We start from the raw sequence: 21729 nt of genomic DNA, 5'->3' as shown, positions 1-21729 counted from the left end.
CATCAGGGCTTAGATTCAAACCTATAAAATTTTGCAACTGACTAGGAGGCCAAAAAAATCTTTGTAGAGTTTGGACGTCTCTTAGATTCCGTTGCCTTCATTACTGCTGCCTAATACCCTTCTGTATAAAACATCAAGTAAATACCCACCTCTCCTCTTTTGTAGAATGGTATTTGATGCAGCATCCTAAAGTGCTGACACTTTATTTGCAGTTCTCTGGGAATTAACTGGATTCACTCAGCACGGGTATGAGCGTGCATGTGTGAGTGTGTGCTGAGACAGACTTCAGTGAACTCACGGCACGCCATGAAAGATTGCCTATGTGAGGTAGGTATACAGTGCTATTATTGTCTCCACATTGCAGATGAGGAAATGGTGGCTTGAAGGAGTTAAGCAGCTTGTTCAAACTGACTCCATAAGGGGAGCCGAAATCCAGACGCCTGCTCTCCCAGCTCCAGCACCAGCACGGTCAGCACCACCCCTTCCTGCTCTCAGCAATCCTGAGAAGACAATTAGCTGTCCCGTGAAGCCCTTGCCTGCCACCAGCGCCATCTGAATCATGCTTTGCCTGAGGCTGTCCCATCCGAACAAAACAGGAACATAAATATTCATGACAGGATAAAAGGAGCAGGCCAGGCTGTTTAAAATCATGCGTGCAGAGCACACTTTGCAAAGGCAATTCAGCTCGCGAGCCTCTGTGCCACGCTGATGAAGTTCTGATGCTTGGCGGACCTATGGCATTCCGTGGTCATCTGATTTCCAAGAGGGAAGCTGATCCCTCGCCATTGTTCCACGTGCTGTCATGTCCCGAAGCTGGAGTTTCACCCAGAGACAGGCCAACAGACACTTCTGACCATAGACAATGCATCTGCAGCCTTCTCTTCAGAACAAAACCACCAGCTTCCCTGACCTAGGTTATCCAAAGGGCTCTTTCTCCACTTTGAAAGAGTCTATGTCTCCTCCAGGCATCTCACCGCCTGCCGTCAAGGCGCCAGCGCCAGCGCCAGAGTCAAGGCACTCTGGTGCAACCAGCCTCCCTGGTGCTCTTTGCTTCCCGTTCACAAAGCATAAAACACACATGGAACAGCCCATTCTGTGGGCTCTTCCTTCTCGTACGTAACACAGGTGCATTGAACATCCACATGTGTTATAAAGCAGGATTCAGAAACCTGAGTCTCTGTTGCCACAAGCCTCCACTTCTCAGCCTTGTAAATGTGGATGAGATGTTTCCATTGCTGAGAGTCAGTTTCCCTCTCCATAAAATGAGCGGTTATAGTCATATCTGTGAGAGCATTTTAAAAACTCTAAAGGCCCCTACATGTAGGTAAGCAAAAATTATATTAAATCCACAAAGGGTCAGTAGCTCCAATTGCAGCAGCACTCACCAGTCAAGGAGGCTGTAAGCAAACCAAATCAGATTGGGGTAAAGTCCCAGAACCCCTGGGCCAGCCTTCCAGGTCCCTGGAGGAGGCAGCAAGACAGAGGAGTAGGGTCGCTGCTAGGTACCCCATGTTGCAGGCTCTCCTGTAGCATGCATTGCATCCCTTCTGCAGATGATTTCAATGCTGGTGCACACAATGTTTTTAAAACTGCAACCACTACCTCTTTGTGACCAGATTCTACAGCATAGCTGACTCTTTCTGACTGAAAACACAAAGTTGAAGGAGTTATAAAATCTAGGCCGGGCGCGGTGGCTCATGCCTGTAATCCCAGCATTTTAGGAGGCCGAGGTGGGTGGATCACCTGAGGTCAGGAGTTTGAATCTAGCCTGGGCAACACGGCGAAACCCTCTCTCTACTAAAAATACAAAAATTAGCGGGTTGTGATGGCAGGCACCTGTAATCCCAGCTACTAGGGAGACTGAGGCAGGAGAATTGCTTGAAACCAGGAGGCAGAGGTTGCAGTGAGCCGAGATTGCGCCACTGCACTCCAGCCTGGGTGGCAGAACGAGACACTATCTAAAAAAAAAAAAAAAAAAAGAAGAAGTCTGATATGCAATGAACACGTGATGTTTAAGAGGACATGCATGTTTGCTCCTTGTCTACCAAGAGTATTCGGTTAGTCATTACACATGTATGATTTTAATGATTTTATCTCAAGAAATGAAGCAGTAATGAAAAGGACATTTATCTTTTCTTTAGAGTCTTCTTTCCTCTCCAGGCTCTGGAAGCCCCACAGTCAACCTGCGTAGTCTACCTGTGCTACACACCCTCTGCAACCCAGCACTGCCATATCAAAAATAAACATTCCGGCTTCCACAAAACGGCTTTGCCCTGCTGAGCGGACCTGATGGGGCATTTTCAACATGCTTATCAAGGTATCAAGATTGGACGGCTGGGACGAGGCCAGATAATGACAGAACTTTCCCTCAGAAAATGTCTTAAATGTCATGGAGCGGTTATTGAAGGCCGTGATGGGTTGGATTAATATGGACTTGTTTGCACTTGGAAGGATTACTGAGGCAGTGTGTAAATGATGGGTTTACGGGAATGAAAACATCAGAAAGATCTGTTAGGAAGCTACTTAAATAACCCAGCACAGGAGAGATGACAGTTTAAACCAAGAGAAGTCGGCTGGAGATGGAAGAGTAGATTTGATGGCTACTTAGGGAAAAGCAATTGATGGGACCTGCAGCTTGGTTAGATGTTGAGGGGAAAGAAGAGAGAAACCTCTGAGGCTTCTGCATTAGGTAAATGGGGGAAGGCGGTGAGGTTATCCATAAGAGGGAAAATGCATGGAAAGCCAGTTTATGGAGCAGGAGGACGTGTTCCGTTTTGACATGCTTGACTCGAAGTGTTTTGGAGACACCCAAGAAGGGGACCCAGTGAGCGTTAGGGGAGGGTCTGTCATGCCCAGAAGAGAGTTATTAGCTCTCAGGTGGCAGCAGAAGCCAGGGGGTTGAACCAAATCACACAGAAAGATTGGATGCTGTGAGAAAATAAGGCCACAGATGAAGTCATAATGAATCCCAACATTTTATGACATGGACCCAGGAACAGAAGACCGCAAAGTGGGCTGGGATCTGTGAGCCCAGAAAAGCAACGTTCCACCAAAGTCAAGGGAGGCTGGAATGTCAAATTGGAGGTGTCTAGGAGTGTCAAATATTGCAGAAGGTGTTAAAAAGGACCGAAAAGTGTCTGCTGAGATTTGCTATCCAGAAGGTAATTAAAACTTGATGACAGTACTTCCAGTTGAGAATTAATTGCCTCCAAGTGTTATTCACAAAGATTCTGTGAGGCTGGATGGGCGGTGGCCATTCGTAAGGCTCATCTTTTAAAGAAGTTTAACATTGAAATTCTACATATCTCTGTTTCATAGAAATATGTATATATGTATAAAATCTCTAGTAACATCTTCGTTTTCTAGCCAAGTTATGTTTCAGTTCAATATTATTAAGATGTTATTTGTTTTTTACTTCCCTCCAAATTGAAGTGTGGTTAAAATTGGTGTGACGCATGTCAAGCTAGTGCCGATCACGTTTAGGAATTAGGCTCAGCTCTAAATGAGTAATGCTAATGTTTGTTGAAATCTTGAAGCCCTGACTTTCTGTTCAGAAGAAGAGCAGTGAACTCCATCTCCTCTTTAACTGTTTGGGCCACTGCTAGGGCCCTGCAGCCAGCAATCCCACAGTCTCTCCTGCTGGATTAAGTGGCGATGCCTGACACGGCCTGGTATTTGGGGTGGGGAGGTAGGAAATAATAAGGAGTGATTTCATTTGTTTCTACAAATTACAGCTGGTGTGCTGAGTCCTTCCTTGGGGCCTTGTGTCAAGGGCTCGGGACCCTGCTGGGGCAGGGGAGGCAGCTCCTGCTCAATTGCTATCAGTGATGAGTGTGACATGTGCAATGTACAAGTCCCCTAAATGTTTACATGCCATGATGAGGCATTTAAATAGGTAAAAAATTAAAATCTATACTTTTTCTGTCTTTAAAGCACAGCTCAAAATGGCCTCTGCAGAATAAATGGAATGAGCTAGGTGTGGAACTCCAGGCACAGCGGTCAATTAAGGGCTGTTCATTAACATTTCAAGCACTGCAGATAGGTGGGTCTTAGCAGCTGGAGTTAAGTAGTGTGTTCTGATAGATATTCCTATTGTGAATTCTTCATTGGTTACTATAATCTTTACGGAAGCCTAAACCACTTCTCAAATAACTTCACCTTACATTGTTCCAAAAAGAAAGAAAAGCTATCTATTCGAAGCTAGTTTAAAGAACAATTATTTGCCTGTGACCTGCCCTGGGAGTGTGCCTCTATGCTCAGCTCACGTGCATTTGCAGACACATGCCCACAGGCTGCCAGGATCTGAAATCCACAAATGGGTCCTTAAGTCATAACTGACGACAAATGTGTAACCAGATTAAAATCTCGCGACATTTCTTAAACTGCTTTTACTGTAGCTCTGGAAACGTTGGTTTCAAAAATCAGTCGTGTCACTGTCACTCTTGGAATTCGAGAGCCCAGAGTCTAAAAGCCAGAAAGGTTGTTCAGAGCTTGGTCTCTGGCCTCTAGAGCTTTCCCAACATGGGATGGGCACACGCCTCAGGCACAGATGACTTCACTCCCCAAAGACTGAACCAGAGAACTCCAAGGTTCAACTGATCATCTGCCTTATTTTATCCATTAGTCTACTTTCATTTGTTAGAAGAGACACAGTTTCTTTTTATCTCTGTCTTCTCCTGACTAATTCTATTAGATCAGCCCTCAAATACATCATGTGATTTGTACAGGGATATCATTTTTATTCTTTTTTTTTTCGGTCCCCTTTCACGTACCTCTAATCATTTTTATCCTTGAATGGCATAAGTCAAACTTTTGAATTTTCTAATAGAATGCCTTTTTTTAAATTAAAACTTGCCTTTTGACTTCCTATTTACTTATTTATTTTTATTGTTAGATAAAGCAGATAAAATGTATTGACAATTTAAAATTTTGAAAAACACAGTGCAGAAGTTTGGCCTCATGGACATATATTAAACCTGGGCTTTATTTCACATTTTTCAGCACATATGGAACAATTGAAATGATTTGATCTCTAGAAAAATGTTAAGAAATGTTAAATATTTTAATCATAAAGACTAACTTTGGCATTAATCATATTTTTAAATAGTATATTAGGTGACTTTAGATATTAAGAAATTTAAACTGAGCAATATTTCTAAATGAATATTTAGAGTTTTTTAGACTCAAAGTCAGTGACTTTCAGTAATTTAAAAACAAAAGTGAACATGATAAATAATAGCAACTCACACAGCGCTCTCTGGACTTTACCACCCACTTTGATGTAAACTGAGTAAAGCTTGTTAGAATCATGCTCAGAAAAGTTGGAAGCTTTGAGATTTTAAAAGTTTGAGAAAAAACTGAAAGTGGGTTTTCTCTTCAGTATTAATGCAAACATTTTCTGAGGCAGTTGTGTTTTTGACTGGAGTTGTAAGGACTTTACGGCAGGATGCAAACTTTAGGGGCTCCCAGGGCTGTTGGAGGGGGCAGTCTGCACCCTCCCTTCCCACAGGGTTCAGCTCCCATCCCAGCCTCTGGGGTCTCAAGAGCTATGGGCACAGAATCTTTTTCCCTCTCTGGGGATCATGTGGGGTGTGGGTGCTAACAGACTCCTCTGTGGGTTAGGAGTGGAGGTTTGTGGCATGAGCCAGCAGTCTCCCCAGTGCTCACTCGGATCGAAAGGGGTGTCAGACCTGGAAGCCAGGCCACTTTTATGTGATGGTCCTCTGAGGCCTGGAATGAGCTCACCGAAGCCCTGGACCTGCAAGAGCAGCTTTGGTTCAAAAACCATTTGGCAGAGGCTTCAGGAAAGACAATCACACAATGCACTAAGCTGGAGGGACACAGGCTTGGGACATGAAGGCGAGAGGTGACAAAAATTATCCCTGAGCAGGCTGGGAGCCGACATCACAAAGGATTCTGTGAGGTTTCTGGAATAGCTTATGCCTTACTTCCCATCAAATTTGGATTAGCTGTGGTAAAGGAGGAAAGAGAACAAATAAAGGAAATCCAGAGATAATCCCCAAACCTCCATTTGAGCTAATAGTTTAAATTCCTCCTATGCCAAGCCAAGCTTTCTGTGTTTACCAGAGTTGATAATGAGAGGCAGAGTAAACCAGCCTCTCTTTAACCCCCTTCCTGCAGAGCTCCTGCTCAGCCTGTGACTGTAATAGCTGGGGACATCCTGAGTATGGATAAGTCTGTCCCAGTCCCACTTGGGAGCTGGGCGATGTAAGGGATGTGGGAAGAGGACCCACCCCAATGGGCACCACCAGCCACTGGGGGATGCTGAGGGAGACCGCTCCAGGCCAGCAGTGGCGGTCCAGGCAATGCATGGGGCAGGTGGAGCGTGCCCAGCCAGCCAGGGAGGGCAGACTCTGCAGAGGCTGCCTAGGGACATTGCTGAGCAAAGGCGACCAAGGCCCAGCCTAGACACAGCTGGAGGAGGGGGATGTGTGCAGAGAACAAGGGGGAAGAGCTGAGAAACTGAGACACTGGGGAGACATGCAGTGATGAGGCAGGGGTCTCCCTCTCCCCCTCTTTCCCTCCCGCTTTTTCTCTTCCTCCTCCCTGCTAGCTCTTTCTTTCTCTCTCCTCCGTCTCTCCCTTTCCCGCTCTTCCTCTCCCTCTTCCTCAGTCTCCCTCTCCTTCTTCCTCTCTCCATCTCTCCTTTCTTCTCCCCCTCTCTCTACCTCCCTCTATCCTTCTCTGTCTCCCTTTCTCCCTCCCTCTCTCCCTCTCCCTTCCTCCCTCTCTCTCTCCTTCTCTCTCTCCCTTCCTCCCTCTCTCTGCTCTCCCTCCCTTCTCCCTCCCTCTCCCTTCCTCCCTCTCCCTCTCCTCTCTCTCTCCCTCTCCTCTCTCTCTCCCTCTCTCTCTCCTGGTTTCCTCTCCATTTCTCTCACCCTCCCTCTCTCTCTCCCTCCCTCCTTATGTCCCTCCCCTGGCCCTCACTCTCACTGCCTGTTTCCCACTCCCTTTCTCCTCTGGACACCCACTATCTTAAAACCACAGGCTTGGTCATGGCAAAACTGGCCCCTCACTGGAAGTGGACTCAGGTGTCACTTCAGTTTCTATGGTCCTGAAACCCTAGCCCCAAGCTGATATGCAGTAGCTCAGAAAAGTTGGAAGTCTTCCCATGCAGACACAAAGGCTCTCAGAGCCACCTCTGAGATGTCCTCTCCTTGGTGAGCCCCTTGTGAGATGGCTTCATGGACTTTTACTGACCTTCTCAAATCATTTTTTCTGAGTGGAAACAACCGCTCAGGGTCTAGATCTGGGCTGTAATTCAGCAGTATAGCTAAGGAAATTGCTGACCTTGGACAAGTCATGTGGCTGCCTCCTCTGTAAAACAGGAATAAAGTTAGCCCATCTCACCCAGCTCACACGTTGACTCCAGCCTGAGCAATGCATCCTTCCGGTCTAAGAAACACACCAGAGAACTGCTCCCAGGGACTCTCCCTCTCTTCCTCCCTCCCTCCCTTCTTTCCCTCCTTCCTTCCTTCCTTCCCTTTCCTTTTTCCCCTCTCTTTCTTCCCTTTTTCCTTGCTTTTCTCTTTTCCTTTTCATTCCTTATGGTTCTCTTTTCCTTTTCATTCCTCATGGAAGTATCTCTGGCCATATGAACACTGAAGCTTCCAGCATCCCCCACCCCATTGATATTCTGATGCTTTTTAATTCTTTTCCATTTGGTAATAATTTTATAAATGTGCTCTGGGAAAAAAAAATTAAAGATTAAATGATGTAAATACAATGAAACTGTACAGAAAATTCAGACACTTAGAATGCACCTATAAACTGGCAAATTATTATTCAGGAACTGGAATCTTCTGGGGGCACATGAGGTTAAAAGGACAGATTGGGCCTCAAATTTCACATAGTTTCAACAGGACTAACTTTCATACAAATTCCTTCTAGAAAGGGGAAGTCCTAGGCAGTCCTGGAAGGACATTTCTAACCACCTTGAGTTCTCTTCTTTTTGGTATCTGAAATGCTCAAAAGGAGCCCCAGTGGGCTTCTTACCAGCTGCCAATAATTTCAGGCTCTTAAATCAGTATTCTCTGTCTTTCTGCTGAAAAAATAACAACCTCGCCTATGAGTGAGGGGCTAAGCCCATAAAGAAGTCCTAGTTCAAAGGCACAACTCACCCTACTGTGTTATCCTGAGGACAGAAAATGGTCTCAGCCCTTCCCAAATCTTCTAGAGGCCCTCACCCTCTTCCGCTCCTCCACCTGCTCACCCATCAGTCCAACAGCCTTTAGACAATTGGCTTTCCTTCTCCCCTTGGGAGAGGGGTGGAGGAGGAAGAAGATAGCGCTACCCACCCACAAAGCTTTCAGAAGGATGAGCTCCTGGCTGCAGAAAGCAAGGGGCTTCTCCACTGGGCAGCACGTCTCTTGTCTCACGAGTGCAATGGCACCTCCCCTAGTTGGTGTCCTCAACCTCATTACCTGCTCTCTGAGCCCTGGGCTCACACGCACTTACACAAAGGGTCACAGGCCCGAAATCAGAGCACTGAGCTTCTTCCTAAGGGAGCAGGCAAATGTTGCCAGCAGACATCAGAGCATCAGGGCTTACTGAATGAGCACTACTGTCACTAAAACGTAGATGGAGGTGTCCCATCAAACATATCTCCACGGAGGAGTCCTTGGAGGCAGCTCTCCACCAGGAGAGCTCAAGCAGCTGTTTGGTAAAAACTAACAGGATGTGACATCTCTTGTCTTCTCTTTCCTTTTTTGTTTTAGGGCATCAGGTGCAGCATATCCACAGAATTAAAATGAAATTTTCTTCTTATCATTATTATTATTCAAGATTTTTTGAAGAAACACGGTGATGACCCCAGCCCTGAGGATCTCACTAATATTTTATTGTTCTTACATGTCACCAGGAGACTCACGCAAGCAATCTCACAAAAAGCAATTCATAACAATGGAAACTGCCCCCAGTCACTGAGAAAGGATCTCTTGGGTTTTAAAAGATCTTTTCAATCTTTGAAGTATTCCCTTGGCCTGGCTAGTTTGGTGTCCCTTGAAGGACTTTTTATAAAACATGAGACTTCCTCCACATTAGGCATTTGAAATCCAATCTTTTTTTTTAAAGTTGCAAAATACATATTTTTTGCAGACCATCTGTTATTTAGTAATGTGCAAATTACCAATAAATAATTCCAGATTCTTTTTTTGCAAGCATAGCTATAAACAAACTGATCCACATGCAGAAATGGAAGTCATTTTCTCTTTGAAAATTCATTAACTTCTGCACGATTGGAAGAGCTCGGGAGAGAAGCTTCCCGGCAGATGTCCATGAGTGTTATTACTGTACACAAACAATAACATGAGGCCAAACACTGACATTCTTTGCAAATCTTCCTCTTGTTTAGCATTCACTTCAGTGGTCTCATCATACGGGGTTTATACGTGTGACTATAAAACCCTTTAAGATGGATTTATGTGTAATAATCTCATTTGTTCTTTTATCTGGCTAAACCATTGGAAAACTATGATTCTTCTCCCATGAAACAATAGAGAATCACAAATAAAAATTGCATTTAATTTTTTTATTCCCAAGAAGTTATTTGGAAACCAAATTTCCTAAGTAGTTCACCAAACGAGCCACTGCCATTTCATAGGCAGGGGCATTTAGATTTGTGTCCTTGCCGGGATGGTTTAAGGGAGTAGAAGGAAAGTAGTATTTACAAAATCTGCACAAAATGCTACCCCCAAAATTGCAGTTAAAAGCCACTGACGAGCTACCAAAAGCAAACAGAAACTATAGGAAAGTTGACCTTTGAAAGATGAGAATTAAACTGAGTAAATGTCTTAGTTTCCTATTGCAGCCTAACAAAGTATTGCAAATGTAATGGCTGAAAAACTATGAATTTATTATTGCATAGTATCTGTAAATCAGGAGTCTGGATATGTGTTAGCTGGGTCCTCTCTTCAGGGTCACACCAGATTGAAATCAAAGTGACAGTCAGGGCTGCCATTTCATCTGAGGCTTGGGTCTCCTTCCAGCTCCCTGGCTATTGGCAGAATTCACATGCTTGCAGCTGTAGAACTAAAGCCGTCAAGTCTTATAGGCTGCTCATGAAGCCCTGGCAGATGGCACTCCTCATATGTGGAGGCTGCTTCTTCAAGGACAGTGGGAGTGTTCCTGCTGCTTCTAATCTCTCTGACTTCTGTTCATGTGATTAGATCACACCCACCCAAGATAATCTCCCCTTTGACTAACTCAATGTCAACTGATTAGGACCCTTAATTACATTTGCAAAATTCCCTCACTGTTCCCACATAATCAACCTAATTGCACAAGTGAAGTGCTGTCATAATCAAAAGTCTCACCACACTCAAAGGAAAGAGATTAGTCAGCACATGTGTGCTGGTGGCAGGAATCTTAAGGACCATCTTAGAACTTTGTCTACCACAGTGAGATTTAAGGGTTCATGCATTTTGCCTGGTGGCACTTTCTAATTTGCACTGCAGGTACAGAAAGTCTTATAAGTTTAAGGAGCCAGGAGCCACAGTTCAAGTCTGACAAGGTAACTAGACAATTAGAAGGAAAATCCCAAAAGAAAGGAAACTTCAGGAGGGAGTGAGTCCATCAGTCTGCATGTAAACTCTTCCCAGATAATAAACTCTCTTAACCATTGGACCATGCATATGCATGTGAGACTTTAAAAGGCCAGGCAAGTAAAGCAGCTGGAGGCTGAAATAATTGAGAGATTTCAGCTGCTGGATATCACAGGAGAGACCATTTGACAACCTGCTACAAGACTTGACATGTTTCAGGGGAACATAATTAAACCCAGAGTCTCTACATATATTTACAATATTCAGTATACAATTAAAAACTTCATAGAAATACAAAGAAAACAAAAAATTGTGACCTATACTCAAGAAAAAAGTCAATAAATACCAGCTCCGGGATGACCTAGATATGAAATGAGTAAGCAGAGACTTTAAACTGCTCTTATAAACTTTCAAGAACTTAAAAGGAATATTGAAGTTCCACTGTCTATGTGTTTACATTTGTCTGCTATCTCTTTGCATATCCCTTTATTTTAAATCCTTCTTTGTTATTTAAAATAGAGGAAAACTTGAAGAGAGATTTTGACTAGAATATATATATATATCTCACAGCAAAATTGACTGGAATATATATATATATATATATATATATATATATATAGAGAGAGAGAGAGAGAGAGAGAGAGAGAGAGAGAGAGAGAGAGAGACAGAGAGAGAAATCTTGATGTTAGGGAGAATAAAGAGGAAAGAAAGGAAGTAAACAAAGATGACTGATATGGTTTGGATCTGTGTCCCTACCCAAATCTCATCTCAAATTGTAATTTCCACGTGTCGAGGGAGAGGCCTGGTGGGCGGTGACTGTATCATGGGGTGGCTCCCCCCATGCTGTTCTCATGATAGTGAGTGAATTCTCATGAGAGCTGATGGCATTAAAGTATGACACTTCTTCATTCAGTCTCTCTCTCTCTCCTGCTGCTATGTAAGATGTGCCTTGCTTCCCCTTTACCTTCTGCCATGATTGTAAGTTTCCTGAAGCCTCCCCAGCCATGCGGAACTGTTAGTCAATTAAACCTCTTTTGTTTATAAATTATCCAGTCTCACGTAGTATTTTTATAGCAGTTTGAGAACAGACTAATACAACAACCAAATTTCTCATGTGGGAATGAGTGAGGAGTTGAGAGAGGTGAGTGGGAATGTGAAAAGATTATAAAGCTCATGAACACCAGAAAAGGGAAAATAGCCATTAACCATAGAGAAAGGGGGCAGAAAAACGAAACTGGATCATATGAACAAACATAAGAAAAAGTAACAAAATAGAAGAAATAATACTAAATTTTGCTTTAAGTTTCTAATTTTTAGCATTTAGTTGGGTTTTGTTGTTTTTATACAATCTGGAGATATCAGGTTTTCAACAGAATTTAGTCTTTTTATGTTTATTGTAATACTAATTTTTAAAATTAATTTTCTATCTTTTAGGGCAACATCTTTTAATAATTTTAATTTTAATTTAATGGGGACTATTTAATTTAATTGGGACCTTAATAGATAGGGACTATTAATTCCTTCAGTGTCAATCAAACACTCAAGGAATTAATAGTCCCCATCTATTAAAAGATGTTATAAAGCCAAAATTCGGCACTTGTTGAATTTTAATCTGTTTAAGATTGGACAGAGTTTTGATCACCATTTCAAGTAATTTAATGAACTTGAAAGTTTTTACCCACTTGAAGTTTTTTTTTCTCTCTTTCATTTTTCTAGAAATATATTCATTTCATCTAGGTTTTCAGATTTATTGGGGCATAGCCATTATATCAGTTTGTTCTCGCATTGCTGTAAAGAACTACCAGAGACTGGGTAATTTATTTTAAAAAGAGGTTTAATTGACTCACAGTCCTGCAGGCTGTACAGAAAGCCTGGCTGGGGAGGCCTCAGGAAACTTACAATCATGGCAGAAGGCAAAGGGGAAGCAGGAAATTCTTACATGGCAGGAGAAGGAGGAAGAGAACAAGGGGGAAGGTGCTACATATTTTTAAACAACCAGATCTCACGAGATCTTACTCACTACCATGAGAACAGCAAGGGATGTCTGTGCCCATGATCCAATCACCTCCCACCAGGCCCTCCTCCAACACTGGAAATTACAATTTGACGTAAGATTTGGGCAGGGACACAAATCCAAACCATATCAGCCATCTATAATATCCTTTCATAATTTTTTTTAAAGTTTATTGTATCTAAGATTATTTTCCCATAGTCGTTCTGAATTTGGTTTCTTTGCATCTTCTCTCTTCTACTTGATTACTTTTGCCAGCAATCTCACTCAGTAGCTTTTTAAAGATTCAACTTTTGGTTTTGTTATTTTTCTCTAGGAGATTTTGTTCTAAATTTTAAAATTACTGAGCCAAACATTTACTCCCACAGCTAACACTTTTCAGGCCCCAGGGAAATACTTGTCCATATCTCTTACCCTATGCCCTGGCATAAAAGGCAAGTATTTCAAAATGCCGTGAAGGTGTGTGGCTCATGCTGCTGCTGACTTTAGAAAATGACATTGTGTTGTTGTGCTTGGATAATGTTAGCAATGGGAGAACTTAACTAAGATAAAATAAAAATTAATTGCCTTGTCAAATCCTTCGTCTCAGAGAGCACAAAGGCAGTAGATTTTTTTTTTTTTTTTTTTTTTTTTTGAGACAAGGTCTCACTCTGGCACCCAGGCTGGAGTACGGTGGTGTGATCTTAGCTCATTCCAATTTCTGCCTCCCGGGTTCAAGCGATTCTTATGTCTCAGCCTCCCAAGTAGCTGGGGTTAGAGGTGTGTGCCAATACGCCTGGCTAATATTTTTTCTGTATTTTTAGTAGAGGTGGGGTTCCACCATGTTGGCCAGGCTGGTTTCAAACTCCTGGCCTCAAGCAATCTGCCCTCCTTGACCTCCCAAAGTGTTGGGACTACAGGCATGAGTGACTGTGCCTGGCCAAAGGCAATAGATTCTGGCATAACACAATATTGTTATGTAATAGTAGAATTGAACATGATTTTTCTGTGGTTTTGTTTTACTTCTCTTGGTTTTCTAAGTTGTGGTTCCAAAGATCATCACAAATTAGTATTTATTTGTAAAAGTCGGACACAAAAATTTAAGGAACATTTTGCAATATGTAAAAAAATTGTATTACTCTCAAATATGTCAATATGTTAATTGAAACATAATGTTAGAAACTAGATAAGATTAAATGTTAGAATTAGAAAAATATTTAAGAAGATTTATTTACATTTCAAAAAATAACATTTTAATTGGAGTACTAATATTTATCAATTGTAATTTGTATTTTGCTTTTGAATATTGATGGATAATTTTTAACATTTTAGAAAAAAATAACTTTTTGAAACTATATAAAAGAATTTCAAATGTTTTATTTTGTCATTTACTTTATGTACATACAAATATTGATGAAAATACATTTATATTTTAAAACAATGACATATTAATCCTTTAGATTATTAGCAATGAATATAAGTAGTGATTACAATGGAAATAAAAATGCAAATAGACCTGAGAAAGAAAAAATAGGGAAAAAATGAACATTTCCAAAACGGAGGTATTCTTAAATGGTTAAAAACTAGAAAAAAATAGGCTGGGTGCGGTGGCTCACGCCTGTAATCCCAACACTTTGGGAGGCCGACGGGGGCAGATCATAAGGTCAGGAGTTCGAGACAGTCCTGGCTAACACAGTGAAGCCCTGCCTCTACTAAAAATACAAAAAATTAGCTGGGTGTGGTGGCACTCGCCTGTAATCCCAGCTACTCAGGAGGCTGAGGCAGGAGAATTGCTTGAACCCGGGAGGCAGAGGTTGCAGTGAGCCAAGATCAGGCCACTGCACTTCAGCCTGGGCAACAGAGCAAGACTCTGTCTCAAAAAAAAAAAAAAAAAACAACTAGAACAAATAGAAATAAGCTGATATTTTACTGAACATAACTTGCATTAAATATGAACAAAGCATTTGGCATTTTTATTTATATTTAATCATTTATTAAAACAAGGAATATGAGCAATAAAATTATTCTCATCAAATCCACAAGTTTATAAGATCATGTGAAATCCTCACAATTTCATAATCTTTACTAAATGAAGATTTAACTACTGGTTTTGAATATAACAATTTGAAAAGTCAACCTGAAGGCAATTATCGCAACTCTGACTTGTCAATTAGAGATGAAATAGGCAAACTGAAGTGGAAAATATGAAACCTGAGAAACTTGGCTCTGTTTATTGAATAATCATCCTGGAAAATGGCCATGGCATCATCAGACAGTATGAGAATGTTTCCAGCAAAATACAATGTGCTCAAATTAATTATGGTTTATTCATTGGTTGAAAGTGGCAGAAATTTTAGGATTCTATTTTATACCAAAATCTTTTAAATGTAGGGAAAAAGTGTAGTCTCTATATGCTAGCCTGAAAGAACACCTTTTGTGGCTATAGTCAGAGTGTTTTACAGCAAATCATCAACATTATCTTTAATGGGTCAGGAGTTTGAGACCAGCTTGGCTAACATGGTGAAACCCCGTCTCTACTAAAAACACAAAAATTAGCCGGGCACGGTGGTGGGCACCCGTAGTCCCAGGTACTAGGAAGGCTGAGGCAGGAGAATCGCTTGAACCCAGGAGGCGGAGGTTGCAGTGAGCCCTGATCGCACCACTGCACTTCAGCCTGGGTGACAGAGTGAGACCTTGTCTCAAAAAAAAAGTATTAAAACGTAAAGATACTTAAGGAAATGTTTTTAAAATCAAAGGAAATTTCATGAGATGAAATATTTAGCAGGGAATGTTCTGGTATCTATAACTTACTTAATGATGTATCAAAAAATAAGATGAGTTGACACATGGATAGGTGATGAATTGATAGATAAATATATAAAACATAGTAAAATGTTAAAGGTATTAATAGAATCAAGGTGGTGAGTATATAGGTGTTTACTAAAAATGCTTTCAACTTTGCTGTGTCTCTGGTAATATTCATGATAAAATGTGGAACAAAAATGAAATTGCATGTGAAGCTTACAAAAAGAGCCATATTCCAATAAAATACAAAGAAATTTAAACAAAAATGAAATGTTTACATGACTAAAAATGAACAGATTTACATACAAAGGGCCCCAAAACTTATTTCTATAGAGACTGTGGTCTGGCTATTAAAGGTCAAAGTACAATATACTCTTACTTAGAGAAAGTTAAACAAATTGTGCAATATTAACTGATATTTTCGACTGTCTTCATGAAGTCTCCAAATTCAGACATTAGAAGAAAAGCTAAAATATAGATGGTAAAAAAATCACATATTAAATGATATATAATTAAAATTAAATTATTTCATAATATTTTTCATGATAAAAATAATGTATCACAAAAACCTGATATAGTATATAAATCATGATATGTCACATTTATGATTCATTTCTGAATCTAAGAATTTCTTTAAATTTTTTATTGAAAATTCCAGTTGCTGCTGCAGAGTAGTTTCTCCAAATTGGAATTAATTAAAATCAATCTAAATTATAAAGGCTCAAGAAAACTGGTTTCATTTGGCATTAGTATCAACAGAAAACAAACTATATATTATAAAATTTTCAATTATGAAAGCACAACTAGTGACTTCATTGAGAGTAAAACAAGAAAATAAATTTTATAAAAAAAAATATAATTTATGAATAATGTTGGTCTTTATTGTTTTACTCTTTGAAACACTATCTGTCCATTAACAGAACATCTAGACATATGCGATAAAAGTTATATTCAGTAATCTTTGACACTTTGTCAACTTTTAGTCATATTAAGACATAATTCCATTTTTAAAAAAATTTAGATAAAATTCCTTGAACAGTACAACTTAACAAAAGCAGATTCTAGAAGTAGATAACCAGCTAATACTATTTTTAGTAAGTAAAATGTACTAATTAAAATTAAATTGAATTTGTAAATAAATCCATTCCCCAAACCACAGGTCTAAAAGGATGTACTGGAAAATTCTTCTTATAATCTTACACAAACTTTTCCAGAAAATAGAAAAGGAACTACTTTCCAGCCCATTTTATGAGGCCAGAATAACTTAATAACAAAACCTGATAAAGGCATTAGAAGGAAAAATATTTCAGGCCGTAATAACCCTCATTAGCAGATAGTTTAAATTATATACACTTGATGGCGTATAGCTTATAAAGTATATTTTAAAGTATATAGTGAATACTAACAGTATATAAAAAAGGATAATCCATCCAAACAAGTTGGGCTCATTCTAGGAAACAAGGTGTGACTTATCATTTAAGAAGGAATCAGGGTAACTGATAACGCCAACAAAATAAAGTAGAAAAACAGAACTTCTGATTTCAATAAATATATAAGAACATTTAATTAAGTTCAGTACCAGCTCAGGAAGAGAAAAAAAAACTTCTGGCAAATTGGAAATACAAAGATAATGCAGGCATTGTTAGTGCCTCACCCATATTCCAACTGTGATTCTTTCTAGGGCTTTTTTTTTTTTTTTCTATCCTAGAAGAAATGCAAGCCAAAAATGCTGGAAAGTTGGTTTTAAGAAGTAACCCTCAGCCACTGCTGGTCTCATTTTTCTGATGTGGGTAACTCTGAGATCTGCCCAGGAGATTGAGCTCCAGTTGCCACAGTGGTAGCTGGAGCAATTGCATACCTTCCTCTAGTCTCTTCTGTACAGCTCTCTCCTCTCCCAGATTCTGCTCCATTGACTGCAGTCACCCTGACCTCACCAGGCTCCGTGGAGCTCTGTCTGTTCCACTTTGGGAGACTGGCGGGCTTCACTTTAGCACCCTCCCTGTGTTGTGGCATGGAAACTCCTTGCAGGCAATGGACTGGGGTATTCATGGGGCTCACCTCATTGTTCCCCTAGGTGGAAATAAATGCAAGCAACCCAGAGGAGAATAGGCAAATGCCCCAGTTGGAGGCTGTTGGCTTGGGAAAGCTGTGGGCAGGCTACAGAAGTGGGATAGCCTGGATGATTTGTTAGAGGTGAATACTTGGATTTCTCTGGTTGGTCCTAAGTTGAGGGTAGGGGCAAAAATTAGGTAAGTTTTCAGTTAATAAAGTCATGGCCATTTTGCACAAATTGTTGTAGAGGTTTGTAGTCTGCTTTCACATTGCTATAAAGAAATACCTAAGACTGGATAATTTATAAAGAAAAGGGGTTTAATTGGCTCATGGTTGCAGGCTGTACAGGAAGCATACCGATTCTGATACTGGGGAGGCCTCAGGAAGCTTCTAATCATGGCAGATGGTGAAGGGGAAGGAAGCAGGCACGTCTTACATGACCAGAGCAGGAGCAAGAGAGGTGGTGGAGTGCCACACACTTTTAACCAACCAGATCTTGTGAGAACTCACTCACTACTGTGACATAGTACCAAGGGGAAAATCCACCCTCCTAATTCAATCACCTCCCACCAGGCCCCACCTCCAACACTGGGGATTACAATTTGACATGAGATTTGGGTGGGGAAGCAGGTCCAAACCACACCAAGGTTATTGGCTGGCTTCCTGGAATGGTGGCTAGGGATCATAGCCTGGCTTCCTGGGCTTGTTGCTATAGATGGTGGGTTGGCTTCCTGGGCCAGTTACTGTAGATCATAGTTTGGCTTCCTGAACTGGTTACTGTAGATGGTAGTGTGATTTCCTGGGCTGGTTACTGTAGATGGTGGGTTGGCTTCCTGCACTGGTTACTGTAGATGGTAGTGTGACTTCCTGGGCTGGTTACTGTAGATGGTGGGTTGGCTTCCTGCACTGGTTACTGTAGATGGTAGTGTGACTTCCTGGGCTGGTTACTGTTGACAGTAGGTGGCTTTCTGCATTGGTTGCTGCAGAGGGTGGATTGGCTTCCTGAACTGGTTACTTTAGACACTGGGTGGCTTTCTTCATTGGTTATTGCAGATTGTGAGTTGGCTTCCTAAACTGGTTACTGTAGACAGTGGGTTGGCTTTTTGCATTGGTTACTGCAGCGGGTGGACTGGCTTCCTGAACTGGTTACTGTAAACAGTGGGTGGCTTTCTGCATTGGTTACTATAGACAGTGGGTTGGCTTCCTGGGCTCCTCACTGCAGGTGGTAGTCTGAATTCCTGGGCTGGCTTTGCCAGTTGTGTGTCAGAGTTCTATGTTTCCATGCAGTCTGGCCATAGTCGGTTTGTATATGCCATTTCTCATATCTCAGGGATTACCCTTTCCTGCCTCTTGTGCAATGCCTGAAAACTGTTGTTTCAAATGCTTTTCTCAGTATTTTGATTGTTTTAGGTGGGAGCATAAATTCAAGCCCTGCCCCTCTATCTGGGCCCCTCTATCAATGGGATGCCTTGACGTCCCAGAGTGAGTTTCAGCTTAATTGTTTTTCTGTAATCTACCTGGGCTTTACTTCCTTGGTCCTCTCCCATTTAGTTTCCTCTTTACTTAGCCTTTTCGTAACCCTTTTGCTCTTTTTTTTAACTGGTCCTATGCAGCCACTACTCCTTTTTTCGTTGCAGTCTCCGGCTGGGACCTCATCATAAACAGAAAGACCTCCCACAAACACTTCAGCACCTGTTCAGCCACCTGGGTACTTCTTACCTCTCCATGGCCTTTGGCCTCAATTTTGAGGTTCTAATACTTTCCTAAACCATGGCAGGATCCCAGATGCTTTGCTTGGACTCACCTGGTTATTCTGGCCAGGCTGGCCTCAGCACCAGATACATTGCTGTCCAGTCGCTTCTCTTGAAGAGCAGAAATCTGCCCAGCACCAGACACTCACTCCCTGTTGTGTATTCCTGCAGCCCTAGAATGCCTTACTTTCAGATGCACTCCTCTTAAAACGGTTCAATTGACTACAATCTCTTAAGCACCTTATAATTTCATCTAGGAAATTCTCACCTTTATGTATTTTTTTACGTTCATGCCTATTATGAATGGTAATTTTAGCTGCACATAAATCTCTTTATCTTATTCATATTTTCCTTTCTGTGTGTTTATCATCCCCTACCCTGGATGGTGGGTTTTTTAGGGGAATGAATTTTTGAGACTGGAAAAATGGCCGCTTCTATTGTATACACTAGATTTAAGAAGTATCTTTACCTTTTTAGATAAGATTATATATAATCTTCACTCACATAGAGACAAGTATATTTAAGTAAGTGTACGGGTTTTTAATTTTCCCAAATAGAACACACTTGTGTAGCCAACATCCAGATTTAGAATCGGAACACTGAAATTGCATTTTATTCCTACTTTCCTGGGCTATCTTTGCTATGAGGCTGACTGTAAGCTTTCTGAGGGCAGGAACTGCATATTGGTTGCTCACTTTTGTGTCTCAAGGGTTATAGCATAGTGTCTGGCCCATATTGAGGGCCTAATTTGTTGAATAAATTTTTTGATGGTATTAGGGAGATGGAGCCATGCTCTTACTGGAAATAAATTGAACGCCATCTGTAAAAAAATGCAATTCCTTTCTCCTTGGCTGTTACTGACACATTTATCCTAAGTGTGTAATACACAACAAAGCTCAGTAAAATTGCCATCATTGAAAATATATTTAAATGACAATTACAAAAACAAAGCAAACTTTTTCTCTATTGTACCTATGAAGAAAACAGACACAGCCTCTCCCATTTTGACAAATGTTGGCAATTGAAACTGCTTAGAGTTAGGGTGCTGTGGACAGCTGTATGTGTTCATGAGAGCAAATGTGTTTGGGGTAGAAAATGCATTGAAGTTGGAAAAATCCATTATGGTCTGGCAATCCGAGTGACAATAAGAATCTGCTCCTTTTGGATAAGAAGTTGGGTTTGCTACTCAAGGAAGGAGCAGGGAGCAGTTTGAGCCAAGTTCCACAAGTTGAGTCCAAATCTTATCCATGATGAATAGCACTCATCCTCACCAAGCCCAGCACCTATCATCTTGTATTTATCTTTGAGAGACAAAAAAAAGTAGAGAAATTTGTGGCCTAGATTTGCTCATCTGCAAACTTTGAAAAATGTGTTGGGTGACTACATTATTCCAAAGTCATGGGCACTCACTAAAATAGTCATGGCTGGAAGTAAGTGAATGTCCTGCTTACTCCAGGGAAGAGGGATTGGAAATGGCCCTGTAGGGGGGTACTGAGCACTCTCACAGAAGAACAGGCACAGGGAAGTCACCCAGCATTCTCATCACCATTGGGTCATGGGGACACTGCTACAATTTCCTCTTTTATGAAGGCTATCTTTGTTCATACTCTCAGAAGGAAGAACAAAGGGAGAACCTTGTTTGTCTTGTGAAGGAAATGCAGAAAGCCTGGTATAGGTGAGAAAAAGTGACTTCCCTTTACAAACTAAAGAAATACAGGGGTCGCCCCACTAGCTGTGGGGTATGGGTGGAGGTGGGGCTGAGTGTCTGAGAGAAAATGCTCTATGGTGTGGGCTGGAGTTTGCTATGAGTGAATTGTTCCAGAGCCTTCCAGCTTCCTGCTAGGGCATTGAAATCCTTTGGCTCACTCTGGGATTTGGATGTGAGACAATTTGCTCTAAAGGGATTTTGGCACAGATAAGTCATTATTATTAATAAACACATGGTGAATGCCAACCATGTGCCTAATGCTGAAATAAAGCTTTCTTTTTCTTTTTCTTTTCAACGTTAAGTCACCAAGTAAAGGAGAAGGCTACTCAGCCCCTTGTTATCCCAGAAGAGGCAATTTTATAGTCTCCCTGTCCCCGTGTCCTTGTCTTTGAATCCTCAAGTGCATTTTTGAAGGATCTTTTCTCTTCCTTTAAGAGAACATTCCAGGACATCATAAATGGTGACTCTAAACTCTTCACCCCTTTCATTATCAAAAGAGTAGATTTCAGAGAGGAATGTAAGTGTCTTCTGACATAGCCTGCAGTCCAACCTGCTCTTACAGGGTGACTCATTTCATAGCAGCTGGATTTTAATGCCATGTGGTATCAAGCAGGGCTGCTTCTAAATGACTGAGCTTGAATTACATGGATGAATCTTTAAAAATATATGGTAGAAAGAGCTGTGTTTATTTTTAGTGGGTTTCTTCTCCTGATTTTCTCCCCGCAATGTCTATCTGCATATTTCTCTGTCTGTACATTTGATCTCATAGGGAAGCAAGGAAAAGTGGGGTTTCTCTAAGGGAGACATACAAAAGATGTTCGGAAAAGCTCCTTTCCTTTATTGCTCAGCAGTGACTTGTGT

At 41.2% G+C, this 21729-nt stretch overlaps 1 long non-coding RNA gene across 2 annotated transcripts in view, besides 2 other annotated features; it reads left to right on the top strand.

Moving 5' to 3' along the window:
- The first annotated feature begins 1993 nt into the window (after window positions 1–1993).
- Window positions 1994–21729, top strand: part of LOC105371986 (uncharacterized) — a 34569-nt gene continuing 14833 nt past the window's right edge. Inside the window, exons 1-3 of one of the 2 annotated variants that reach the window (XR_935139.3) lie at window positions 1994–3161; window positions 3934–4042; window positions 8739–9549. This is a non-coding gene — a long non-coding RNA (uncharacterized LOC105371986). Of the gene's footprint in view, window positions 3162–3933; window positions 4043–8738; window positions 9550–21729 lie in introns of those variants that run through there. The other variant, XR_001753347.1, reaches the window with a different exon arrangement.
- Window positions 5834–6334: an enhancer, noted in NCBI's record as "H3K4me1 hESC enhancer chr18:10369051-10369551 (GRCh37/hg19 assembly coordinates)". NCBI's record gives its function as "activates a minimal SCP1, AML or CMV promoter by ChIP-STARR-seq in primed H9 embryonic stem cells {active_cell/tissue: H9 hESC(primed)}" and the evidence as "EXISTENCE:reporter gene assay evidence [ECO:0000049][PMID:30033119]".
- Window positions 6335–6835: an enhancer, noted in NCBI's record as "H3K4me1 hESC enhancer chr18:10368550-10369050 (GRCh37/hg19 assembly coordinates)". NCBI's record gives its function as "activates a minimal SCP1, AML or CMV promoter by ChIP-STARR-seq in primed H9 embryonic stem cells {active_cell/tissue: H9 hESC(primed)}" and the evidence as "EXISTENCE:reporter gene assay evidence [ECO:0000049][PMID:30033119]".

Source organism: Homo sapiens, chromosome 18, assembly GCF_000001405.40.
Source record: "Homo sapiens chromosome 18, GRCh38.p14 Primary Assembly".
In the NCBI taxonomy this organism is placed as follows: Eukaryota; Metazoa; Chordata; class Mammalia; order Primates; family Hominidae; genus Homo; species Homo sapiens.
This window is presented reverse-complemented; position numbering and strand designations above follow the sequence as displayed.